The sequence below is a fragment of the Homo sapiens genome, chromosome 16 (genome assembly GCF_000001405.40).
Source record: "Homo sapiens chromosome 16, GRCh38.p14 Primary Assembly".
In the NCBI taxonomy this organism is placed as follows: Eukaryota; Metazoa; Chordata; class Mammalia; order Primates; family Hominidae; genus Homo; species Homo sapiens.
In genome coordinates this window covers 17,918,667-17,941,607 of record NC_000016.10, presented here as the reverse complement: position 1 = coordinate 17,941,607, position 22,941 = coordinate 17,918,667, and the positions used below count along the sequence as shown (strand labels likewise).

At 40.7% G+C, this 22,941-nt stretch overlaps 1 long non-coding RNA gene and 1 pseudogene across 1 annotated transcript in view, besides 2 other annotated features; one reads left to right on the top strand and one right to left on the bottom strand.

The window, feature by feature from the left end:
* The window catches only part of LOC107984893 (uncharacterized), a 111,412-nt gene that overhangs the window by 30,894 nt on the left and 57,577 nt on the right, over positions 1-22,941 (top strand). The window lies entirely within an intron of this gene.
* Positions 1,528-1,617: an enhancer, noted in NCBI's record as "active region_10515". NCBI's record gives its function as "activates an Ori minimal core promoter by ATAC-STARR-seq in GM12878 lymphoblastoid cells {active_cell/tissue: GM12878}" and the evidence as "EXISTENCE:reporter gene assay evidence [ECO:0000049][PMID:35858748]".
* RPL7P47 (ribosomal protein L7 pseudogene 47) lies at positions 8,213-8,891 on the bottom strand (annotated as a pseudogene).
* Positions 19,948-20,107: an enhancer, noted in NCBI's record as "active region_10514". NCBI's record gives its function as "activates an Ori minimal core promoter by ATAC-STARR-seq in GM12878 lymphoblastoid cells {active_cell/tissue: GM12878}" and the evidence as "EXISTENCE:reporter gene assay evidence [ECO:0000049][PMID:35858748]".

Sequence of the window (22,941 nt, the reverse complement as noted above, 5' to 3'; positions counted from 1 at the left end):
TAATCTGGCTGAACAAATTGAAAATGGACTAAACATCTGCAGCCCCATGGAAACAATCAACAACCATGCATGCCTCAAAACAGGTGAATTTCATCGACGTTTAAGGCATGACTTGGTGCAAAAATTACCTATTAGGGTGGTTTCCCTATCTTAGGTTAGAAACCACCCTGGCTTTCAGAGGCAAGGCCATTAGTCTCTAGCTCCTGTTTCAGGGCTATAGAGACAGTGACGAGAGGAGAGACTGGAGCAGGTCAGACATACTGGCAGGTACAGCAAGAATCAAGTTGTAAATAACTCAGTAAATGTTAGAGAATGGGATAGGTGACATTTGAAATAATAAGCGAGCCCTCTCTGAGCAGTCACTCCTCCTAACCTTTTGGAAAATTACACTGACCTGCGTCTTAGCAAAGGGCATTTATCAAAAGGACAGCTGGCCAGACTTGCAGAATCCATGGTGAGAGGGGATTTTCAGCAGGAGGCTTGGCAGGTGGATGGAATTGGAGGCCCTGGGGTGAGACCACGTGGTCTTGGGATTGCTTACCATTCAGAACTTATATTTTGGGAGAGAGTAGAGGGAATCAGACATCTACTTCCGCTCCTGCTAGTTGCAATTGTGTGGGAATACAGACACTGTGCCACATAACCTTCTATTTATTTTTTTCTCCCCAAGCAAGGCTAGAGTCTTAGAATGTATATGTCTCCATTTAGAGCTTCTGGAGATGAAATTTCTAGGATTTGTTTCTAACATTATGCTAGCCGGTCATGTGGGGCTTAAGTTCAAAGGACCCTTGCTCTCTGTGGGAACTGGTTGGTAACCTTTGACCTAATGAATTCACTGGATGCAAATCCCAGCTGGAACGTGTTCTGTGGGCATGCCGGAGTAATGCTTTTCAAACTTCAGGTTGGGGCCCATTAGGGGATCATGATATTAATTTTGTGGGCCATAGCTGCTTTTTCTATTCTAAAAAAAAATAAAGTAGGGCCAGGTATGGTGACCCACGCCTGCAATTCCAGCACTTTGGGAGGCTGAGGTGGGAGGATTGCTTGAGCCCAGGAGTTCAAGACAAGCCTGGGCAACATAGTAAGACCCTGTCTCTACCAAAATAATAATAAAAATTAGCGGCCAGATGTGGTAGCTCACGCCTGAAATCCCAGCACTTTGGGAGGCCGAGGTGGGCAGATCACAAGGCCAGGAGATCGAGACCATCCTGGCTAACACGGTGAAACCCCATCTCTACTAAAAATACAAAAAATTAGCTGGGCATGGTGGCACGCATCTATAGTCCCAGCTACTTGGGAGGCTAAGGCAGGAGAATCATTTGAACCCAGGAGGCGGAGGTTGCAGTGAGCCGAGGTTGTGCCACTGCACTCCAGCCTGGGTAACAGAGCAAGACTCCGTTTCACACACAAAAAAAATAAATAAAAGCCAGGCATGGTGGTGTACAACATACAGGTGCACACCTGTAGTGCCAGCTACTTAGGAGGCTGAGATGGGAGAATCACTTAAGTCCCAGGAAACTGAGGCTGCAGTGAGCTATGATTGTACCACTGCACTCCAGCCTGGGTGACCAGAGTGAGACCCTGTCTCAAAAAAGAAAGAAAATAGAAAATGTCCGAATGTATCACATGACATATGCAAAACTGAAATATTTAAAGCATGTCAGATGGAGCTGCTGCGGTTGAAGCCTGCAGAAGAGCCATCTCATTTAAACTTCCTCCTTTTTCTCAGTGGCCTCCGAGGATGTTCAGAGCAAGATGTGAAAAACAGATATCTAGAGAATCTGAAGGGCTGTTTGCAATGAGCCATGATGTGCTTTTGGAACTCACTGATGGTACTGTGCTTCTTCAGTGAAGAGCATCGTAGCCTTGTAATGGGTCTGGAAACCATCTTCCTAGATGCTAGATGCTTGGTATGAATAAGCCAAGTGAGTGTGCTCTTTCAGCCCTATGGGAGCAAAATTTGAATGCTGAGCCCCTCTTGGTGAGCAGATCCTGAGAAAGGGCTCATGGCATCCGAAGACACAGGAGGCCAGTTGTGTAAATTTAGCATGCCGTTTTGTTCATGAGAAACATGAGATGCCCATTACAGAAACTTACCCATTCATGTCACCAGTCAGGGCATATCATCTGTGCTCTAGAATTAGAGGGCTGTTTGGTGGAGCTCAAGCTCAAAAGGAATTTGCTTCAACTGGTTTTACTCTGGTGCTAGAGGCTCTGAGTTTGAATAGAGGGGAGTGAGTGAACTTTCCCCTTACTTGGACATGGTTGCCTGGTTAGAGCCCCTCTTCCTTGAACAGCAGGATTGTAGCCTTGCAGGATGTAATCCTCCCACACTCTCTCCGTTTTATGAAAGAGAAAATGAAACCTCAGAGGTTAAGTGTCTGGAAACAGAGACTTGAACGATGTCAGAAGTAATTTCTCTCCATCTCTCATCTTTGGCTCTTAGCTGCATATTAGCATAAAGCTTTATGGAGCTCTTGGGATACAGACGAGCTGCCTTCCTGGGGTCACTTGGACACAGGAAGGGGAACATCACACACCAGGGCCTGTTGTGGGGTGGGAGTAGCGGGGAGGGATAGCATTAGGAGATATACCTAATGTAAATGACGAGTTAATGGGTGTAGCACACCAACATGGCACATGTATACATATGTAACAAACCTGCATGTTGTGCACATGTACCCTAGAACTTAAAGTATAATAAAAAAATTAAAAAAAAAAAAGAAAATGTGGCGACCAACAGATATCTTTTTTTTTTTTTCGTTGTACAGCTTTGACTACTTGGAAAAGTTGTACTGATCTTCTTTCTCCTGCTTCCAAAATTCCCAAAGAAGATAACTCATTGGCAGGAGCTCACCCATGGCCAGTTAGCTAAGGCCAGAGGTGTTGCAATGCAAAGCTATTATAGCTCCAGTGGGAAGAACATGGGAGGAACTGGGAAAAGAGGCAATTCCACAGATTAAGGAGGGAGGTTGGGGGGTAGTGCTGGATAGAAAGTAAAAAGCAGGTATTTCCTTTAAGAGCCTATTGCCATACATAGCGCCTTACTTTCTTGAAAACATGTTGAAGGACCATGTTCATTTGTTAATTATTATTATTATATATTTTTTTAGACAGAGTTTTACTCTCATCTCATCTAGCTCAGGCTAGAGTGCAGTGATGGGATCACAGATCACCACAGCCTTGACTTCCTGGGTTCAGGTCATCTTCTCACCTCAGCCTCCTGAGTAGCTGGGATTACAGGCATGCACCACCATCCCGGGCTAATTTTTCTGTGTTTTTTTTTTTTTTTTTTTTTTTTTTGTAGAGACAGGGTTTTTGCTGTGTTGCTCAGGCTGGTCTGGAACTCCTGGGGTCAAGTGATCCTCCTGCCTGAGCCTCCCAAAGTGCTGGGATCATAGGCATGAGCCATTGTGCCTGGCCATTAATTATTTTATTTATTCATTCTCTCAACTATTATTTAATGACTATCTAGTATGTACCTGACATGTTATAACATGCTTGTTGATTCTAAATCATTGAGTCAAATTAGAGTAAGAACAAATAGGCTGAGTAGGGTGGCTCATGCCTATAATCCTAGCACTTTGGGAGGCCGAGGTAGGCAGATAACCTGAGATCAGGAGTTCAAGACCAGCCTGGCCAACAAGGTGAAGCCCCACCTCTACTAAAAATACAAAAATTAGCCAGGCGTGGTGGCGCATGACAGTAATCCCAGCTACTTGGGAGGCTGAGGCAGGAGAATCACTTAACCCCAGGAAGCAGAGGCTGCAGTGAGCCAAGATCACACCACTGCACTCTAGCCTGGGCGACAGAGCAAGACTCCGTCTCAAACACATAAATAAGGACAAATAATATGAGAGATATAATACGAGTGGTACTAAACGGAGACAACAGTACGTCTTTGCTCTAAATGCCTGATATGTGTGTTGTATCTGTTTATCTGTCTCCCTTTACCAGGCTGAATACTCCATCAGAGCAGAGATTTCATCTTAGTTATTCTTATAAAATCTAAAATGTAAACAGTAGGGTTGAAGGGTTAAGAACACTGGCTCTGAAGCCAGACTTTCTGGGTTCCAGTCTTAGCTTCACCACTTGCTTTTTAGCTATCTCACCTCAGGAAAGTTACTTAACTTCTCTATGCATGAACTTCCTTATCTATAAAATGAAGAATTTGGTAGTTTCTACCTCATAGGGTGTGTAAGTACTAAATGCATTAATATATGTAAAATACTCAGAATAGTGCCATGGTACTTAGTCAATGCTCAGTAAATACTGAGTTCTGATGACCTGTTAGTAGTTGAAGGAAGAATATGATCATCCTGACTGGGGGAAATGTTTGGCTTTGTGGCTGATGCAAAGCACCTCTTTTCCTTTCCTGGTGCCACAGGACAAAGTCTGAGCAGCATTCAGAACCAAGGATCCGAGCTCATAGCGTCATGCAGAATTTGTTTTTCTTGGCTGCCCCTTCACCCGGAGGGTAAAAGACAATGAAGTAATCAAGCTCCAAATAAAAGTTGCAATACCATTTTCTTTTCCTCTTCAAGGAATCTTTCAGCTGTAGCATCCCGTGCAGTTTCTGCATAGGGGGTATTGATGATGTGCCATATTTCATTATACTCACTGCTCTACTTTGTGAACAAAGAGAGAGAAGGCCCTGCTCAGTGCCTGGGGGACATGTTCTTCTTTATCCAAATGGAGAGTATCCAGGTGGAAATACCACCTGTGGATAGAGCTGGGTTATAGCCAAGAGGGACGATTCAGCAGAACTGATCTTAAAGAGGCCTTAGTTTCTGCACTAATCGGTTGGAACTAGGGCTGCTATTGGATATAACCTGCCCCCAAATGCAGACTCTAGGATGGTAGTTTTCAAACCTGAATGTGCCTATGAGTTCTCTGGGGATATTGTTAAAATGCAGATTCTGACTCACTAGGTCTGGGATGGAACCTGGGATGCTCCGTTTGTAACAGGTGTGCAGATGATGGTGAAGCTGCTGGACCACAGTTTGAGTAGCAAGGATGTTGCCTATCCCTCAGTCTTGCTGGCTTATTTACCACCCATTTACTTACTCTAACATTGCTCTCACATAACCACGTTGTAGGCAACGTTGCAGAACTTGATTATTTATTTATTCATATGTTCAACAAATATTTATTGAGCATCTACTCTACTCCCGAATTGTTATAAATGCCATGGATTTATTCCAAACCAGTGTTTCTCAGCCTGGGTCCGACTGACATTTTGGGCTGGATGATTCTTTGTTACAGGGAGCTGTCCTGTGCATTGTAGGATATTTGGCAGCATCCCTGGCCTCTACTCACTGGATGTCAATTGTGACATTGCCCGGGGTCCCCTGGGGGACAAAACCACCCTGGGTGGAGAACCACTGGGTCAACTCAAGGTTGGTCAGCTGTGACAACAGAAACCACTACATACAAAGTCTGTGCTTTCCAGACATAATATTGCATGCATGAAGTGCTCGTATGTGTATGATCTTGTCTGAACCTTGTCAGGATGCTCAGTTTCCCAGATGAAGGGATGAAGCTCATGGTATAACTGAGATTTGAACCCTGATCCTCAGGGGCCAAGTCCCAAGTGCTACCCACTACACCACACTGCCTTCTCTGCACTTCCCTGACTATTTTTGGCTTAGATAAGCCACTGGGCCTCCTTAGTTTAGTGTCTTTCTCTTTCAAAACTATAATAATAATATAATAATAATAATAATTAGAACATCCCTTCATGCATTCAAAGAGGTGGAATAGTGCAGTAAGTAAGAGCTTTCTGGGGCTGGGCATGGTGGCTCACACCTATAATTACAGCACTTTGGGAAGCCAAGGTGGGAGGATCACTTGAGCCCAGGAGTCTGAGACCAGGCTGGGCAACGTGGTAAGACCCTGACTCTACCAAATTAAAAAATTAGCCAAGCATGGTGGCACGTGCCTGTGGTCTCAGCTACTTGGGAGGCTGAGGTGTGAGGATTGCTTGAGCCTGGGAGGTCAAGGCTGCAGTTAGCCATGTTGGTGCCACTGTACTCCAGCCTGGGTGACAGATCAAGACCTTGTCTTAAAAAACAACAGCAACAGGCCGGGTGCGGTGGCTCACGCCTGTAATTCCAGCACTTTGGGAGGCCGAGGCAGGCGGATCATGAGGTCAGGAGATCGAGACCATCCTGGCTAACGCGTTCTCTACTAAAAATACAAAAAATTAGCCAGGCGTGGTGGCAGGCGCCTGTAGTCCCAGCTACTTGGGAGGCTGAGGCAGGAGAATGGTGTCAACCTGGGAGGTGGAGCTTGAAGTGAGCCGAGATTGTGCCATGCACTCCAACCTGGGCAACAGAGGCAGCCTGGGCGACAGAGCGAGACTCCGTCTCAAAAAACAACAACAACAATAACAACAAAAACACAAAGAAAAACAGCAACAACGATAAACACTCTCTGGAACTTACCTGGTCCCACTGTTCTCTACTGTGTTACTTATTTAATTAGACATTTATTTAGAAATTTTAATTAATTTTTGTTTGAACTTTTTTTCTTGTATGGGTACATACTATTTCACATGTTTGCAGGGTACATGTGAGACTTTGTAACATGCCTAGAATGATCAGTCATGGAATGATCAAGTCAGGATATTTAGTTGTTTTAACTCTGTTTTCTCTTACTCATATGTGGAAAGGGGATAACAGTATGTGCCTCATGGTGGCATGTGGTGGTGTTGCTGTTGCTATCAGAAGACAGAAGAGTGTCTAAGGCCAATTTTAATGCATAGACTAATTTGCTACTTCCTTTGTATCATCCTTTTAATTTTTCTTACTATCTAAGAATTCATGGCGGACAAATCCTACCAGTCCCTTTTCTTCCCTTCCAGGATTCTGACAAAGGAGCTTCCACACAAAGCAGCACCTCCCCACCCCTAACACTTCCAAAGCAGGGTTTCAAGTTGCAAAGAAGGGTTTCAAACCTCGACTGGGAACATGGCTAGGCCTGAGGCTGAGTAGACCCTCTGTGATATTGTGATAGAAGAAAAAATATATATTTGATCTTCTTCCTTAGTTCTTAACAGAGAGGCCCTAAAACCATTTTAATTTTCTGAGTCAGAGGGGTGAGAGGAGCATCTTTTGTTACTCTTAATAAGACTTTGAACCATACCTGAGTTTATGCAAATGCCGTGACTCTTGGTGGGCCCCTAGCTAGCTTCAGGATAGGGGCTGATCACCAGAGGAATCAATCATGTGATTAGAGGATTGGAACTTTCAGGGAGGGGAGAGGGGCTGGAGATTGAGCTGATCCCAAATGGCCAGTGATTTAATCTTTCATGCTTATGTAATGGAACTTCCATGAAATCCCCTAAACTGGATGGGCTCAGAGAGCTGCTGAGTTGAACACATCCATGTGCCAGGAAGGTGGCACACCCTAACTCCTACAGGGACAGATGTCTCCATGCTGAGGACCCTTCTGACCTCACCCTGTGTGCCTCTTCATCTGGTGTACATTTGTATCCTTCATAATAAACCAGTAATAGTAAATAAATGGTTTTTCCTGGGTTCCAGTAGCCATCATAGCAAACCATTGAACATGGGGGTGCTGGTGGGGGAACCCCTTATTTATAGCTGGTCTATTAGAAGTACAGGAGACCTAGAACTTGCAATTAGCATCTGAAATGGGAGCAGTCTTGTGGGACTGAGCCCTTAACCTGTGGGGTCTGATGCAAATTCTGGGTAGTTGGTGTTAGAACTGGGTCCTTGGACACCCAGTTGGTTGTCTGAAGAGTTGGATCATTGGGTGTTGGTATGGAAAAAAACCCACACATTTGATGTCAGAAGTGTTATGAGTAGAAACAGATCTTAGCCTCCTACTCCTTGTGTATTAGTCTATTTTCATACTGCTAATAAAGACATACCCGAGACTGGGCAATTTACAAAAGAAAGGTTTATTGGACTTACAGTTCCACGTGGCTGGGTAGGCCTCACAATCATGGTGGAAGGCAAGGAGGAGTGAGTCACATCTTACATGGATGGCAGCAGGCAAAAAGAGAGCTTGTGCAGAGAAACTCCTGTTTTTTAAACCATCAGATCTCGTGAGACCTACTCATTATCACATTATCATGAGAACAGCATGGGAAAGACCTGCCCCCATGATTCAATCATCCCCCACTGGGTCCCTCCCACAACACGTGGGAATTATGGGAACTACAAGATGAGATTTGGGTGAGGACACAGAGCCAAACCATATCACCTTCTTCACCAAGTTAAAGACTATTTTTTTTTTCAATTTGAGAGCAGGTACTGTTTATTAACCAACCAGCTTAGAAAAATAATCATGGTAGACACCTTGGTTCATTTTTCTAATAAGCCTGTTGATCTTGTCCTCCCTGTTGCCAGCATCTCCACCTTCTACAAGATGGGTGGTCTTTTTCTTCATTCCAACTCGTGGAGAAGACAATTTGAAGGGCCACAGGAAGTTATTTGCCTCTTTGAAGTGTTTTCCAACAGTATAGATCTCATGAATCAGATCCTCCATGCAGATGATGCCGTATTTACCAAGAGATCGAGCAATCAAAGCGTTATCTGTCAAAGCAATTTGCTTCTTATTGATTTTGCCATAACCACGCTTGTAGATTAGTTCATTTACTGACTTCAGATTGGGGCACCCCCATGCAGTATATGGCTCTACAATCCTCAGCATGTTAATCGAAGCCTTGTTGAGCTTCACGAAGGTTCCATTGAAGACTCGACGAAGGCAAAGAAGCTGCAACATCTTTCGAACCTTTGGGCTCACGCCATTGATACCTCTGATTCTGAAGACAAACGCCAATTTGGGTTCTGCAGGTACATAGAAGTTGCCAGCTTTTCTTGCCATCCTCGCCATTCGAATTTCAGTTCTGTACATCTGCCAAAGACTATTGACTTACAGGTCAGGTCTGACTTTGAGATAGCCATCGAGGGGTGAGGCCCACAGGCCTATAGGGCACTGAAGAGGGAGAAAGGGGGGTGTCTGGGAGGTATGCAAAGAGAAAGTGGTAAGTGGCGGGCCCTAACCCTGCAATACCCTATCCCTGCCCTTTAGTAAGCCATGTTCCGGTGAGTGTTGTTCTCTGAGCAATTACATTCATCCTTTCTTTTCTTGGGGAGGACTCATGGGTAAAAAGAGTTGGCAGCTTTCTTCCCACAAGACAAGAGCGATATCCTCTCCTTTATGGACTAAGGAAGAAATGTGGAATCTGGGGAAGGGTCTGTCCTTAACTCTCACCTTGGTTTTCAGAAATGAGGAAATTGACCTCATTTGTCTTTTACCCAAATCAATTTTCATCCCTTTGGCATTTGTTAGATTCACTCAGTCAATTGTTTAATTGCTTCATCCAGGTGGCTGGTGGGGGTCACAACTGCTCCTCTTCGGACACCCTCTGCTTCCAGCAATTATCCCTGTCTCCCCCTCAGAGCAGTGCCATATGCCAGAGTGGGGCTTGTTGGGGACCTGGGCCAGGCTTGAGGAGAAGTTTTAATTCAGTCTAATAATCCAGACTGATACCCTTGTGCAAAATGCTCAGATAGAATACACATTCGTGGTAAAAGAATTTTCATTATCTTTGTTTTTAAAACCGTTGCATTTTTGTTACCCATTTATTGGCATCTTGCTCTTTTCACTTAGCAGTATCTCTGTAGCCCTGGTAAATCATTTTAATGGTGTTCTAAGTGCAACAGGAGGCTACTGGAAGTTTTTGAACACAGGGATATGTTTTGTTATTTGGGAAGTTATTTCCACAGCAAGTCCGACAGCATCTGTGAGGAAGCATCCCAAGACCCGAGCCACCCAATCCCTGCTCACGACTCCAGTTCTGTGTTTTATAGCCACCCCCTGGGTTTTCTAAACCCCAGTGCCTACTCCCCTCCCTGATATTCTCACACCCAGACTTCAGCCACCCGGCCGCCCTCTCCCCAAAGCTCCATCGCTCACTCTTCTCTTTGTACTCACTAGTAATTCCTATATCTGAAGAACTGATTTCCTTTCAACTCGACTTCTTTGAAGTCCCAAGCCTTTGAATTATTTTCACTTCTTTTATTCTTGAGGAAAATTCCTAATGGTTGTTTTCATGAGCATCGGTGACAGGGAGTTTGCTACCAGCAAATATTCCCTGCCAGTGTCTTCTTGGTGAACAAGTAAGTATCAGAGGTTAAAAGAATCTTAGGGCTCATAGAAAATAATTGGCCAACCAGGGCGAGAATCCATTTCAAGGGCTATTTAATGGTCATCAAATTAAATACTTCCAGGGACTAGGAACTCACTACCTCCAAGGCCAGTTTATTTTATCATTGGACAGTCTTGACTGTTAGACATTTTTCTTATATTTTTCCTTTTCTGAAATGCCACCCTTAATCTCTAACTTACACTTCCAAAGTCAAAGTGTTCCCATTACCTTCTTAGTGTCTCATTGTGATTTCCCCAAACCACAATGACTGTTTTCTCGTAAAGCATATGCCTTGCTCAGTTATTATTTACTTTTATATATCTTTATCAAGGTATAATTGAAATTCAACAAATAGCACATACAGTATAGAGTTAGCTGCATCTTCACTTACCTATACACCCTCAAAACCATCATAATCAAAATAGTGAATATGCTCATCATTTCCAAAAGTTTTCGCATGCCCCTTTTATAATATCTCCTTCTTACCCCTTCCTCTTCCATTCTCAGGAAGCCCTAGCTTGCTTTTTATCCTTAGTTTGCATTTTCTAGAATTATGAATAAATGGAATCGTACAGTTCATACTCTTTCTTTGTCTGGTTACCTTCACGTAGCATCATTACTTTGAAATTCATCCTTTTTGTAGCATGTATCAATAGTTCATTGCTTTTTATTGCTGAGAAGTGTTTAACTGTATGGATGTACCACAATTTGTTTATCCATTCACCAGTTGTTTTACTGGAAACATCTAAATTGTTTCCATATTTTAGCTATTGCAAATAAGACTTCAATGAACATTTGTGTACCAAATCTCTGTGGACATATACTTTCTCTTCTCTTGAGTGAATACCTAGGACTAGGATGGCTGGATGGTATGGTAAGTATATGTTTAGCTTTTTAAGAAGCTGCCAAATTGTTTTCCATGTGGTTGTGCCACTTTACATTCCTGCCAGCAGGGTATGAGAGTTCTAATGACTCCTCGTCTTCACCACTCCTGGAAGTGGTCAGTCTTTTTGTTTTTAACCTCTGTTCATTTTTGATCCTGTGATCTTAGAATACATTGAACATGTCTTCATCTCTCCCAGGCAAAGATCTGTGACAGTGTGCCTGCCATATTTTATTCTTCAGAACTGCCTGGTTATACTGAATTATCTACTCAACAAAAACTATTGGGATCTACTATGTGCCAAGCCTTGTGTTACTCAGGATACTTGGATGAAGGCAACTAGGATGATTTCTAGCAAACAATTCCAGGACTTATGATGTGGGTTGCAATGGATTGCCCACCCAGTGAAATGGAAGTCTGGGTATAGAATAACATGATGTTTTCCAATACTACAAATGGTTCACTATTGCTTGAATGTAGGGTTAAGGCAGCAAGAAATAAGGTGAGGCTCCATTATGAAGTCCCTTTTCTACCATATTAAAAGATCAGTGATGCTGGCCATCAAAGAATTTTGAGAAATGGAAAGGCATGTTTGGATCTGTTCTTTATAAATTTCACTTTGATGGGGTAAAGGATTCTCTTTCTCTTGAGATACAGGCCCTGCCACATCTCTCGATCAATCGATAGATAGATAGATAGATAGATAGACAGACAGACAGACAGACAGATAGATAGATCATCTTCTTTAGATTCCCTTGGGTGGATTTGGAGCATTTCTGTCTGTTTCAAACTTCACACATCTTTGGCTTTTAAAATCTAAGTGGTGGTACCCGTGCTTGGGTCCCAACTACTATGTTCTGTGAATAAGACTGGTTTTCCAGGTGTCAGGGCTGAAAGAGAAGGGGTGTCCTTGTAGAAATGACCATTGGTTTGGACTGCCATGTCACCTGCCAGAGCCCTACAGGAGTGTACTGTTATGGGGTGTCCATTTGGCAAGATGCTGACTAAAACCACCGGGATAACAGAGGTCAAGGGAGAGGCCAGACCTTCCTTGGGGTTTTCTCTCTCTCTCTCTCTCTCTCTCTCTCTCTCTCTCTCTGTCTCTCACTCTCTCTCTCTGTCTCTCTGTGTGTGTGTGTGTATAGTACTGACATTTAGTTGTGACACCCTGGTATGGTTGCACCATTGTTAACCGATTAAAAGACTTTCATTTTGGTTGGTAAATAGCAGCTTCCTGGTGCACCCCAGTTACTGTGATCCCCTGGTCTTGCACAAAAGGGGTCCTAGTACTTTGCTCTAATGTCACAGCTGGTATCCTTCTCCGTTGGTCAGTACCTATGCCATGATGGTTTTTATGGTTATCAAATACTTTAAATTCACATCACCATCAAAACACACAAATTAGCAGCCCAAAAAATGATTATGCTGGTTTGATCCTGTGTGTGCTTGTGTGTGGGTACACACATATATTTTTAAATACCAGGCTGTGCTGAAGGTGGTACTTATGTGTTTAGAAAGAAAAACACTAGAATATCTCTCTAAATCAGCATAAATGATTCACCAATAAAGCAGTGGTGTCTGAAGGGAAACCATATCATGGAGAATCACCCAGGCAAATCAAAATGAACACTCCAGCTATGGTTTATAGTTTGTAGAAACTTAAAAGATTCAGTGTCAACTTCTAAGTCAGTGGCTGATTTTTCTAAGTAGGGGCTATTTTCTTTCATCCTGACTAGCAGTTGGTTTGGAGCAATAGCTAAAGTAATTTTTTCTTAGTTAACTTCAATATAATTTTCATCATACTTGATTTTTAGACACTGAAATTGCCCATAATTGTGTCTGTCCTATCACTATGTTAATAAGGAAAATTATAATGGATTATCCTTTTGTTTTCCTGGTCATTTGTTGATGCCTTTTTTGTTGTAAGGATGTGAAAACATAAGGCAATTTCACCAATTACTGGTAATGTTATTCAGATATTTAATTTATTTTATGCATGCATAATCAGCCATAAATACATTTTAGCTAATGGAGATGACAAGGGTGTAATATAATTTGAGCCCAAACAAATTCAAAACAACATTAAGAAGGAAACACAAAACCATGGGAAGGAAAGAAATAAGCAACTCAATCTGTCTTTAGTTTCACTTATGCCAGATCTTCTAATGTGGACCGGGTCTTTTGGATTAAAATAAAATAATGAAAGAGCTTAGTAAAGTGGGTGGCGCATAGTAGGTGCTTAATAAATAGTTGTTTTCTTTCTTTCTCTCTAAAAGCCTAGTTGACTATTACAGCATACTTTGCTGTCATAGTGTTTGCTATAGACTGAATGTTTGAGTTTCCCCAGAGTTTATATGTTGGAATCTAACCCATTGTGATGGTATTAGGGGGTAGGACCATTGGGAGACAATTAGGATATGATAGTGGATCCCTCAAGAATGGAATTCATGCTCTTATAGGAAGAAACACAAAAGAGATTATCTTTCTTTCTTTTCTTTTTTTTTTCTTTGAGATGGTCTTGCTCTGTCACTCAGGCTGGAGTGCAATAGCATGATCCTGGCTCACACAACCTCCACCTCCCAGGTTCAAGTGATGCTCTCACGTCACCCTCCCAAGTAGCTGGAACTATAGGCATGTGCCAACACCCCCAGCTAATTTTTTGTATTTTTAGTATGGATGGGATTTCACCACGTTGGCCTCTCAGCTATGAGAGGACACAGTGAGAAGGCAGCTGTCTGCGAACTAGGAAGAGAGCCCTCACCAGACCCCAGATCTGCCAGCATCTTGATCTTGGACTTCCCAGCCTCCAGAACCACAAGGAATACATGTATATTGTTTATGCCACTCAGTCTACGGTATTTTTATTATAGCAGCCCAAACTGGCTAAGACAGTATTATTTCATCCAAGCCTGTTCAAGCTCTTCCCTCTGCCCTCCAGACTGATGGCCAAATCTAAGGGTGCAAAAAGAAAGCACCGTGGAACCAGTGGAGTCTTGGAATTAGAGTCAGCATCTGAGTCCACAGGAAAAAAAGCACAAACATGGAACTTCTCCCTTCCCATCCCCAGAAAGTGCCCTGAAAACAAAACGTGCTGTGACCCCATTTTATCTCAGTTACACATTCTAGCCAAGTGCCTGCCTGCTACAAACTTCATTTATGGCTTACCTTTACACTTTGATATCTTGAGTTTGCTAAAGCCTGGCAAATCCAGGCAAATTTCTTCTTGTCAGAAAAGACTCCTAGCAGCTGCCCAACTAGAAACCCTTCCTCTTTGAATACTGATTATGACAGGGAGAAACTCATTTAGTTGCTAATCTGTCTTTAACACCTGCTAATCTCCATTTCTGTTAAAGAGACTCCGTAACCTGTTCCTGGCAGTCTTCCAGCTGGGGTGGCACCAGAGAAGAGGGGGCAACCAATCCTCAAATCTGGATGCACTCCTATTTTTGTAATTCCAGGAAGGCCCACGTTAGACTATTTTAAATTGTTGTTGCTTTGCCCAGAGGAAAAGCGTGTGAATGAATTATGAGCAGGTGGCTTCTTGTGAAGGAACCTGTTACCTCCCCACTGCTACACGGCATTCTTCCTGGCCCAGCAAACCATCTGGGGGTCCCAGTAGTGCCAGTAACTATGTCTGGAGGCCTTTCATTGCCTTATAATAAAGAGAAGAGAGTCACATTTATATCCAGGAGTGAAGAAAAATATGGGCATTTGGAGCTGTGGTGAGGAAGTCTGGGATAGCTTGGCAGTTACAGGGGAGGATATAGAAAGTTTTCAAATGTCAAAGGAGCATTTTTCTTGCTTACACTCTAAAACAAATGCAGCGGCAGCTGTCCATGGCCTCACCCTCCCTAGCGAGTTTCTTTTGCTGTTTGCTCTTTCTTCCACATGCTCTGGTAGGAGGGCCCTGATGTCTGTCTCTGTCTTTGGAAATAGAATTCATGTGTTTTAAGCCTGTCAAACAATTGGATGCCTGAGGGGCGTTAAATGAGAATCCTGGGCCTCAGAGTGGCATCGTCAATCACGCACAACCCAAAAATAAGTAAATGCCTGTTTGCCCCTTGACAGTCTTGTTCAAGAAAAGCACTTTAGATCCTGGCTACACTATCCAATATCCACGCCACTCGGTGTGGTGTATCTAGTTCTTGTTTGCTATTTCTCAACAAGCTGGAGAAGGTGGCTGCGGGTGTGAGGGGCTTAGTTGAAGAATGTATTTATTTATAATTTCTGTGTTGCCTGTGCCACTGGAACTGATGCTAAACCTTGTGGTGCTTAGGGATAGATTTAAAATGAGGAGATTCCGAGTAAGGCCATTTAGACTGGAACTGGAAGAAGTTTTCACCTCTTCACCTCCAGACTCATGCCTCACAGAATTATTGGAAGAAGAGTCAGGAGCTATGTAGTAGGAAATTTTCTGAGGCAGAATTTGAATCCAGGTTTGCTTGATTTTGAAGCTGGTGCTACTAACTTCAATGATGTAGTTGTGGCTGTATAGTTACCGAATTATAAACAGCATGGTTCTAACAGTTGGGTTACAATATGCCATCACCTGAGTGTGACAAATGACATACTGTGATGGCTCGCTCGCTGCTCCGTTTTGTTGCATAGCAACTGTTTCGGTGCTTCGAGTTGCAAATGTCCATATTTACATATTATGTGTTAAATTTCTAATTTTTCAAACACTGTGCTCTTATAGAGTGAAAAAAATCTAAACATTGAAAATTTCATGAATCTGGCTATTATTAAAAAGTCAAGAGACAACAGATGCTGGTGAGGCTGTGGAGAAAAGGGAACGGTTATACACTGTTGATGGGAATGCAAATTAGTCCAGCCACTGTAAAGAAGAGTTTGGAGATTTCTCAAATAACTTAGAACTATGATTTGTCATGACAATCCCATTACTGGGTATGTATCCAAAGGAAAATAAGTTATGCTACCAAAAAGACACATGCACTCATACGTTCATCGCAGCAGTATTCACAGTAGCAAAGATATGGAATCAACCTCGATGCCCATCAACAGCGGATTGGATAAAGAAAATGCGGCACATATATACCATGGAATACTATGTAGCCATAAAAACAACTAAATCATGTCCTTTGCAGCAACATGGATGTAGCTGGAGGCCATTACCCTGAGCAAAGTAGCACAGGAACAGAAAACCAGATACCAGATGTTCTTACTTGTAAGTGGGGGTGAAATATTGGGTATTCATGGACATAAAGCTGGCAATAATAGACACTAGGGACTACTAGAGGTGGGGAGGAAAAGAGAGGGAGACAGTATTAAAAAAAAAAACTATTGGGTACTATGCTCAGTACCTAGGTGACAGCTGCCCCAGTTGTCCACCAAACCTCAGCATCATGTAATATATATCCAGGTAACAAACCTGAACATGTACCCCTTGAATCTAAATAAAATAAAAGTTGTCAGGGCATGGTGGCTCAGGCCTGTAATCCCAGTACTTTGGGAGGCTGAGGCAGGGGGATCCCTTGAGCTCAGGAGTTTGAGACCAGCCTGGACAACATAGGGTGACCTTGTCTCTCCAAATAATAAAAAATAATCTGGCTGTGGTGGTGCATGCCTGTGGTCCCAGCTACTCAGAAGGCTGAGGCAGGAGAACGCCTGAGCCTGGGAGCTTGAGGCTGCAGTGAACTATAATCCCACCACTGAACTCTAGCCTGGGTGACAGAGGAAGACCCTGTCTCAAATAAATAAATAAAAGTTGAAATTACATAAAAAAATAAAATGGCATTCATCTGCAATAAGTCCCATACTAGACCTTTTAGACTTTTTTGTTTTTGTTTTTTTGTGCCATAATTAACATATAATAAAATGCACAGATCTAAAGTGTTCAGTTCAATGAATATTGGTAATAGTATATACCAGTGTAACACCACTCAAAAGAACATAGATCTCCATCATCCTAGAAACGCTTTGACTCCTTTCCAGTTCATTCCTTCCCTATATCCCACTACCTGATTTCTGTCAACCTAGGTTAGTTTGGTTTATATATAGATTTCATAAATAGGGTCATTCTTATGTGTTGGATGTCATTTTGTTTCAGGATTCTGTTGCTTATACTGTTTTTGAGATTCATGCATGTGCGTATTGTGTGTATTTGTCATTTATTCTTTCTCTTGGTGTGTAGTATTCCTATGTAGGCATCCGGCATTCTCCTGTTATGCGCATTTACATGGTTTCCACTTTTCTGCAGTTATGAACATGGCTACTATGAACATTCTTGTGCATGATTTGGAGTAAACGTGTTTTCGTTTCTTTTGGGTAAGTACTTAGGAGAAGAAGAGACGGGTCATAAGTTTGACATGTATGTCAAACTTGAAGAAAGGGCCACATAGTCCTGAAAGTGTAGTAACATTGTACTCTCACACCAGCAATGTATGTGAGTTCCAGTTGCTCCTTGTCCTTGCCCACATTTGATGTCAGTCTTTTTCATTTTAGTGTTTCTACTGGGTGTCAAGTGCTATTTGATTATGGTTTTTAATTTGCATTCCCTTTGATGACTAACAACATTGAGTCCTTTTCAAATACTTGTTGACTATTGATGTATCTTCTTTTGTGAAGCATCTGTTCAAGTATTTTGTTAATTTTGAAAAATTAGGTTGCTCAATTAGATTGTTGATTTGTAGTTTTTGTGTACACTGGATATAAGCCCATAGTCATATATAGGTGGTATAAGTATATTTCCAAACCATAACTTGTCTATTCATTTTCTTTATGGTATCTTTTGATAAGCAGAAAATTTTAACTTTGATAAAGTCCAACATTTTTAAATCTTTTTCTTTTTTTTTATCATGTTTTTGGGGTCATGTTCAAAAATTTCTTGCACACTCAAAGTCTTGAAAATATTCTTTTTTCCTAAAAGTGTTATGGTTCTGAGTTTTATATCTAAGTACATAGTTCATCTTGTGTTTGTGGGGGAAAATTGTCATGGTTCATTTTTTGTCTTATAAAGCATTCAATTGTTTCATCAACATTTGTTTAAAAGGCATTCTTTGCCACGTAGAATTGACTTTGTACCGTTATGTGAAATCCACTGACCATATGAATGTGGGTCTATTTCTGGACACTCTCTCCTGCTCCATTGATCTAGTGTTCTATCCTATGATCCACTATTAAACTGTCTTGATTACTGTAATTTTAGAATAAGGCTTGAGATCAGATAATGTTAGTTCTCCAGTTTTGTTCACCTTTTTCAAGATTGTTTTCATTATTCTAGACATGTAGATTTGCCATAAACATTTTTAGAGTTATCTTATGTAAGTCTGGTAAGTAGCCTGCTGGAATTTTGATAGGAATCATACTGAAGTTATGTGCTAATTTAGAAACAATGAATATCTCAATAGCACTGAACCTTCCAATGTACGAACATTGTAAAACATTTCATTTATTCAGGTCTTTAACTTTTCTCAGCAATGTTTTCTGGGTTTGAGTAGGTTTCATTACATTTATTTCCAGGTATTTGATATTTTGATGTTATTGAAAGTTATATTGTTTCTTATTTTGAAACAGTCTCAAAATTTCCAATAAGTTTAGAGTACAGAATAAAGAAACTTTTTCAAAGCATTTGAAAGTTTCCAACATGATACTTTATTATCTCCTAATACTTGAATGTGTATTTTCTAAGAACAAGAATATTCCCCTAAATAGCCACCATACGAACATAAAAATCAGGAAATAGACATGTATCCCCTCTTAATACCTAGTCTTCAGACTCCATTCAAGTGTAGTTAGTTGTCCCCAGAGTGGTCTTTGTAAGAAATTGATCTGGTCCAGAATCGTGTTATGTTTAGTTGAACTAGTCTGAAACAGTTCCTCAGTATTTCTTTGACTTTGGTGACCTAGACAAATTATAAGAATGTTTTGTAGAATTTGGATTGCTCTGATCTTTCCTTTTGGTTAGATTCAGGCTATTCCTCTTTGGCAGAAACATCACAGAGCGAGATAGTGTTCTTATGGAGTCCTATCAAGTGACATATAATTTTGATTTGTTCCTTTACTGATGATATTCACTTTGATCAATTGATGAAGGGGATGTCTATTAGGCTTTCCACTGTAAATTTACTATGTATCCCCTTGTAATAAATATTTCGTGTAGTGATATTTTGAAACTGTTTTGTTCTTCATCAAACTTTGAATTTAATTACTATCAGTATAGGCTCATGCCTTCATATTTTACTTAGCTTTAATCCATTAATATTATTTTTTATTTTGATGCTCAAATTGTTTCAGATTTTGTGGATAGGGGCACCTTCAAGATTTCCATGTCTTTTTAATTATACCCCTATTTGTTTTATTATTTTTAAAAGAGCTTTCTTACTTTCTGGCACAAAGTGTTCCAGATTCATTTTGTACTTCTTTTTTCTTTAGCCCTGGAATTAGCCATTTATCCAACAAGCCCTTTTATTTTATTTTGTGTCTACTTTTATTTTAGAATGGTATTTAGAAACCAAGATCTGAGCCTTAGGTGTGCTCAGTAACTTCTGTGTATATTCCTATTTCTATATTTATGCCCATATCTATATACCTTATGTGAATATCTATCTATACTTGTTGAAAGCCAAGGGTTTACACCAATATCTTTCATTCCAGCCCTACAGAGTTTATTCTAATTATCTGCCTTTCCTTGTTTGTATATCTCTTTATTGGCAGAAACCTAGCTCCCATTTCCCTCAATGTGTTTATTGGATCAACCCCATCATAGGTACCAATCTCTAGTCATGGCTGTCACTCCTGCCCCCTGGTGGCTATTCAGGCTCTGACACCTCCTGCTGGGCTTCCCTCCCAAGCAGATGCCCTGTTCAACCTGCACGGGCTTTGGTGCCTAGCACCTGGTCACCCTCTCATGTAGGCAGCCCTTCAGTCTGCTCAACTCTGATGCCCTGTGATAGGCCATCTTCTCTTGTGGACGTCCTCTACACATACTCAGTCCTCAACACCATGTAGAGGCCCACAGCAACTTTACCCTACTTCTCTGCAGGGTTGCCTAATGTGTTCAGCCCCACCTGATGGCTTTTGGACAGAATTGTTCAGGAAAGAAAAGGAAGGGGAGAGTTACTGTGTTTTACATTTTAATTTTCAATTGTTTGTTGCTTATATATAGTTATACAATTAATTTTGCTTATCAACCTTGTGTCCTGTGACTTTTAAAAACTTACTAACTAGTTGTAGAAGTTTGGTAGATTGCTTTGGACATTGTACTTCTGCTTACACAACAATGTAATTTGCAAATTAGTAGAAGTTTATTTCTTTTGCAATTTTTATAACAATTTTATAACAATTTTTATAAAAAATTGTATTGCTACAGTTATGATTTCCAGGATAATACTGAATACAAGTGGTGAGGGCATACATCATTGCCTTGTTTTTGATCTTGGGGGAAAAATTGTTTATAATTTTGATATTAATTATGATGAAGTATTTGGTGTAGCTGTAGGTTTTTCATAGATACACTTTATCAGCTTGAGAAATTTCTAGTTTGCTGAGTTTTTTAGTCATAAAAAGGTATGGGATTTTTGCATGTTTTTATTTTTTAATTGACAAAATTGTATATATTTATGGAGTACAACATGATGTTTTTATATAGTTATTGTTTGATCTAGGCATTTGATAGTCATTGTGAAATGACTAAATCAGGCTAATTAACATATGCTTTACTTACATACTTAGCATTTTTTGGTGATAAGACCATTTAAAATCTGCTCTCTTAGCAATTTTCACATAAATATGTTATTAGTTACAGTAACATAATGTATAATAGATCTCTTGAACTTCTCCTGTCTAACTGAAGTTTTGTATCCTTTGACCAACATCTCCCCAGTCCCCCCATTCTCCAGCATTACTTTTTTAGATTTAACGTATGAACTCATTCATGCAATATTTTGTTTTTTTTTTTGTGCCTGGCTTACTTCACTTAACCTAATGTCCTCCAGGTGCATCCATGTTGTCACAAATAAGAGGGCTTCTTTAAGGCTGAATAATACTCTGTTGTGTGTATATACTATATTTTCTTTATCCACTCATCCATTGATGAACATGTAGGTTAATTCCAGCTATTGTTGCTGCAGTGAACATAGTTCAGGTATTCCTTCGACACACTGATTTCATATCCTTTAGATACATACCCAGTAGAGAGATCGCTGGATCAAATGATTGTTCTATTACTAATTTTTTGAGGAAACTCCATACTGTTTTCCATAATAGCTGTACTAAGTTACATTTTCACCAACAGCATCTGAGGGTTCCCTTGTATCTACATTCCTGGTCAACACTTGTTATCTTTCATCTTGTTGATAAGTCATTGTAATAGGTGTGAAGTGCTATCGCATTGTGGTTTTAATCTGCATTTTCCTGGTGACTAGTGCTGTCGAGCATCTTAAAAATATACCTGTTGGTATATGAAAAGTATATAAAAAATAAAGCTGGGGGGTTGGAGTACTGGGGAGATATTGGTCAAAGGATACAAAATTTCAGTTAGACAAGAGGAGTAAGTTCAAGAGATCTACTGTACATTATGGTGACTATAATTAATAATATTGTATATGTAAAAATTGCTAAGAGAGTAGATTTTAAATGTTCTCACCACCAAGATATGCTAAATATGTAGGGAATTGATATGTTCAGTAGCTTGATTCAGTCGTTCCACAATGACTATCAAATGTCTAGATCAAACAATGAATATATCAAAACATCATGTTGTACTCCATAAATATATACAATTTTTGTCAATTAAAAAAAGATGTAGAAATCCAATATCTTTTATATACCTGTTTGTATGTTGCCTTTTGAGATATGTCTGTTCAGATCCTTTGCCCATTTTAGTCAGGATGTTTTCTTGCTACTTAATTGAGTTTCCTGTGTATTTTAGATATTAACTCCCTCATAAGGTGTATGATTGGCAGGTATTTTGTTCTATTCTCTCGGTTGCCTCTTCATTCTGTTGATTGTTTCCTTTGCTGTGCAGAAGCTTTTCAGTGTGATGAAATCCCTTTTGTCTATTTCTGCTTTTGTTGCCTATGTCTTTGGGGTCCGATTAAAAAAAATCATTGCCCATAGCAATGCAATGGGGTTTTCCCCTTATGTTTTCTTCTACTGGTTTTTCAGTTTCAGGCCTTATGTTTAAGTCTTTAATCTATTTCTGGCTGATTTTTGTATCTGATGTGAGATCAAGGCCTAATTTCATTCTTTTGCGTGTGGGTATCCAGTTTTCTCTGAACTGTTTATTGAAGAGACTATTCTTTCCCCATTGTATATTCTTGGATTCTTTTTCAAAAATCAATTGACCATAAATGCATGGACTTATTTCTGGGTTTTTTATTCTGTTCCATTGGCTTATGTGTCTGTTTTTATACTAGCCATGCTGTTTTGATTACTATTGCTTTGTAGTATATTTTTAAATCAGGTAGGAAAATTTCTCCAGCTCAATTATTTTTACTCATGATCACCTTGGCTATTCTTATGCTAGGCTACTGCAGCAGGGACTGATGCAATCTAATCTGCAGTTGAGCTCAGTTTGGGTTTTGCTGTGGCTTTTGTTTAATTCAATTTGTCTCTGGCTTCAAATGAGTGTGGGATCAGGACTTCCTTTCAGCAGGACCCAGGTCTGAGTGCTGGTGAGAGTATACCAATCTCTCTGTGCTTCAGGAACATGTTTCTAGCTTTCAGAACTGGAGGAAGTCTTTCCTGGCTCTACCACCAACCTACCAACGTGTTGGGTTCTGAAGATTTCTCTTTGCTCTCTATTCCTGCTCACTGATTTCAGAGCCTAGAGACTTCAGTCCTGCTTCTTGCCTCTGAGTCTTCTATGGATGCAGCTATATCTACTATATAGGACTAGTATGCATTAGAGGGACAC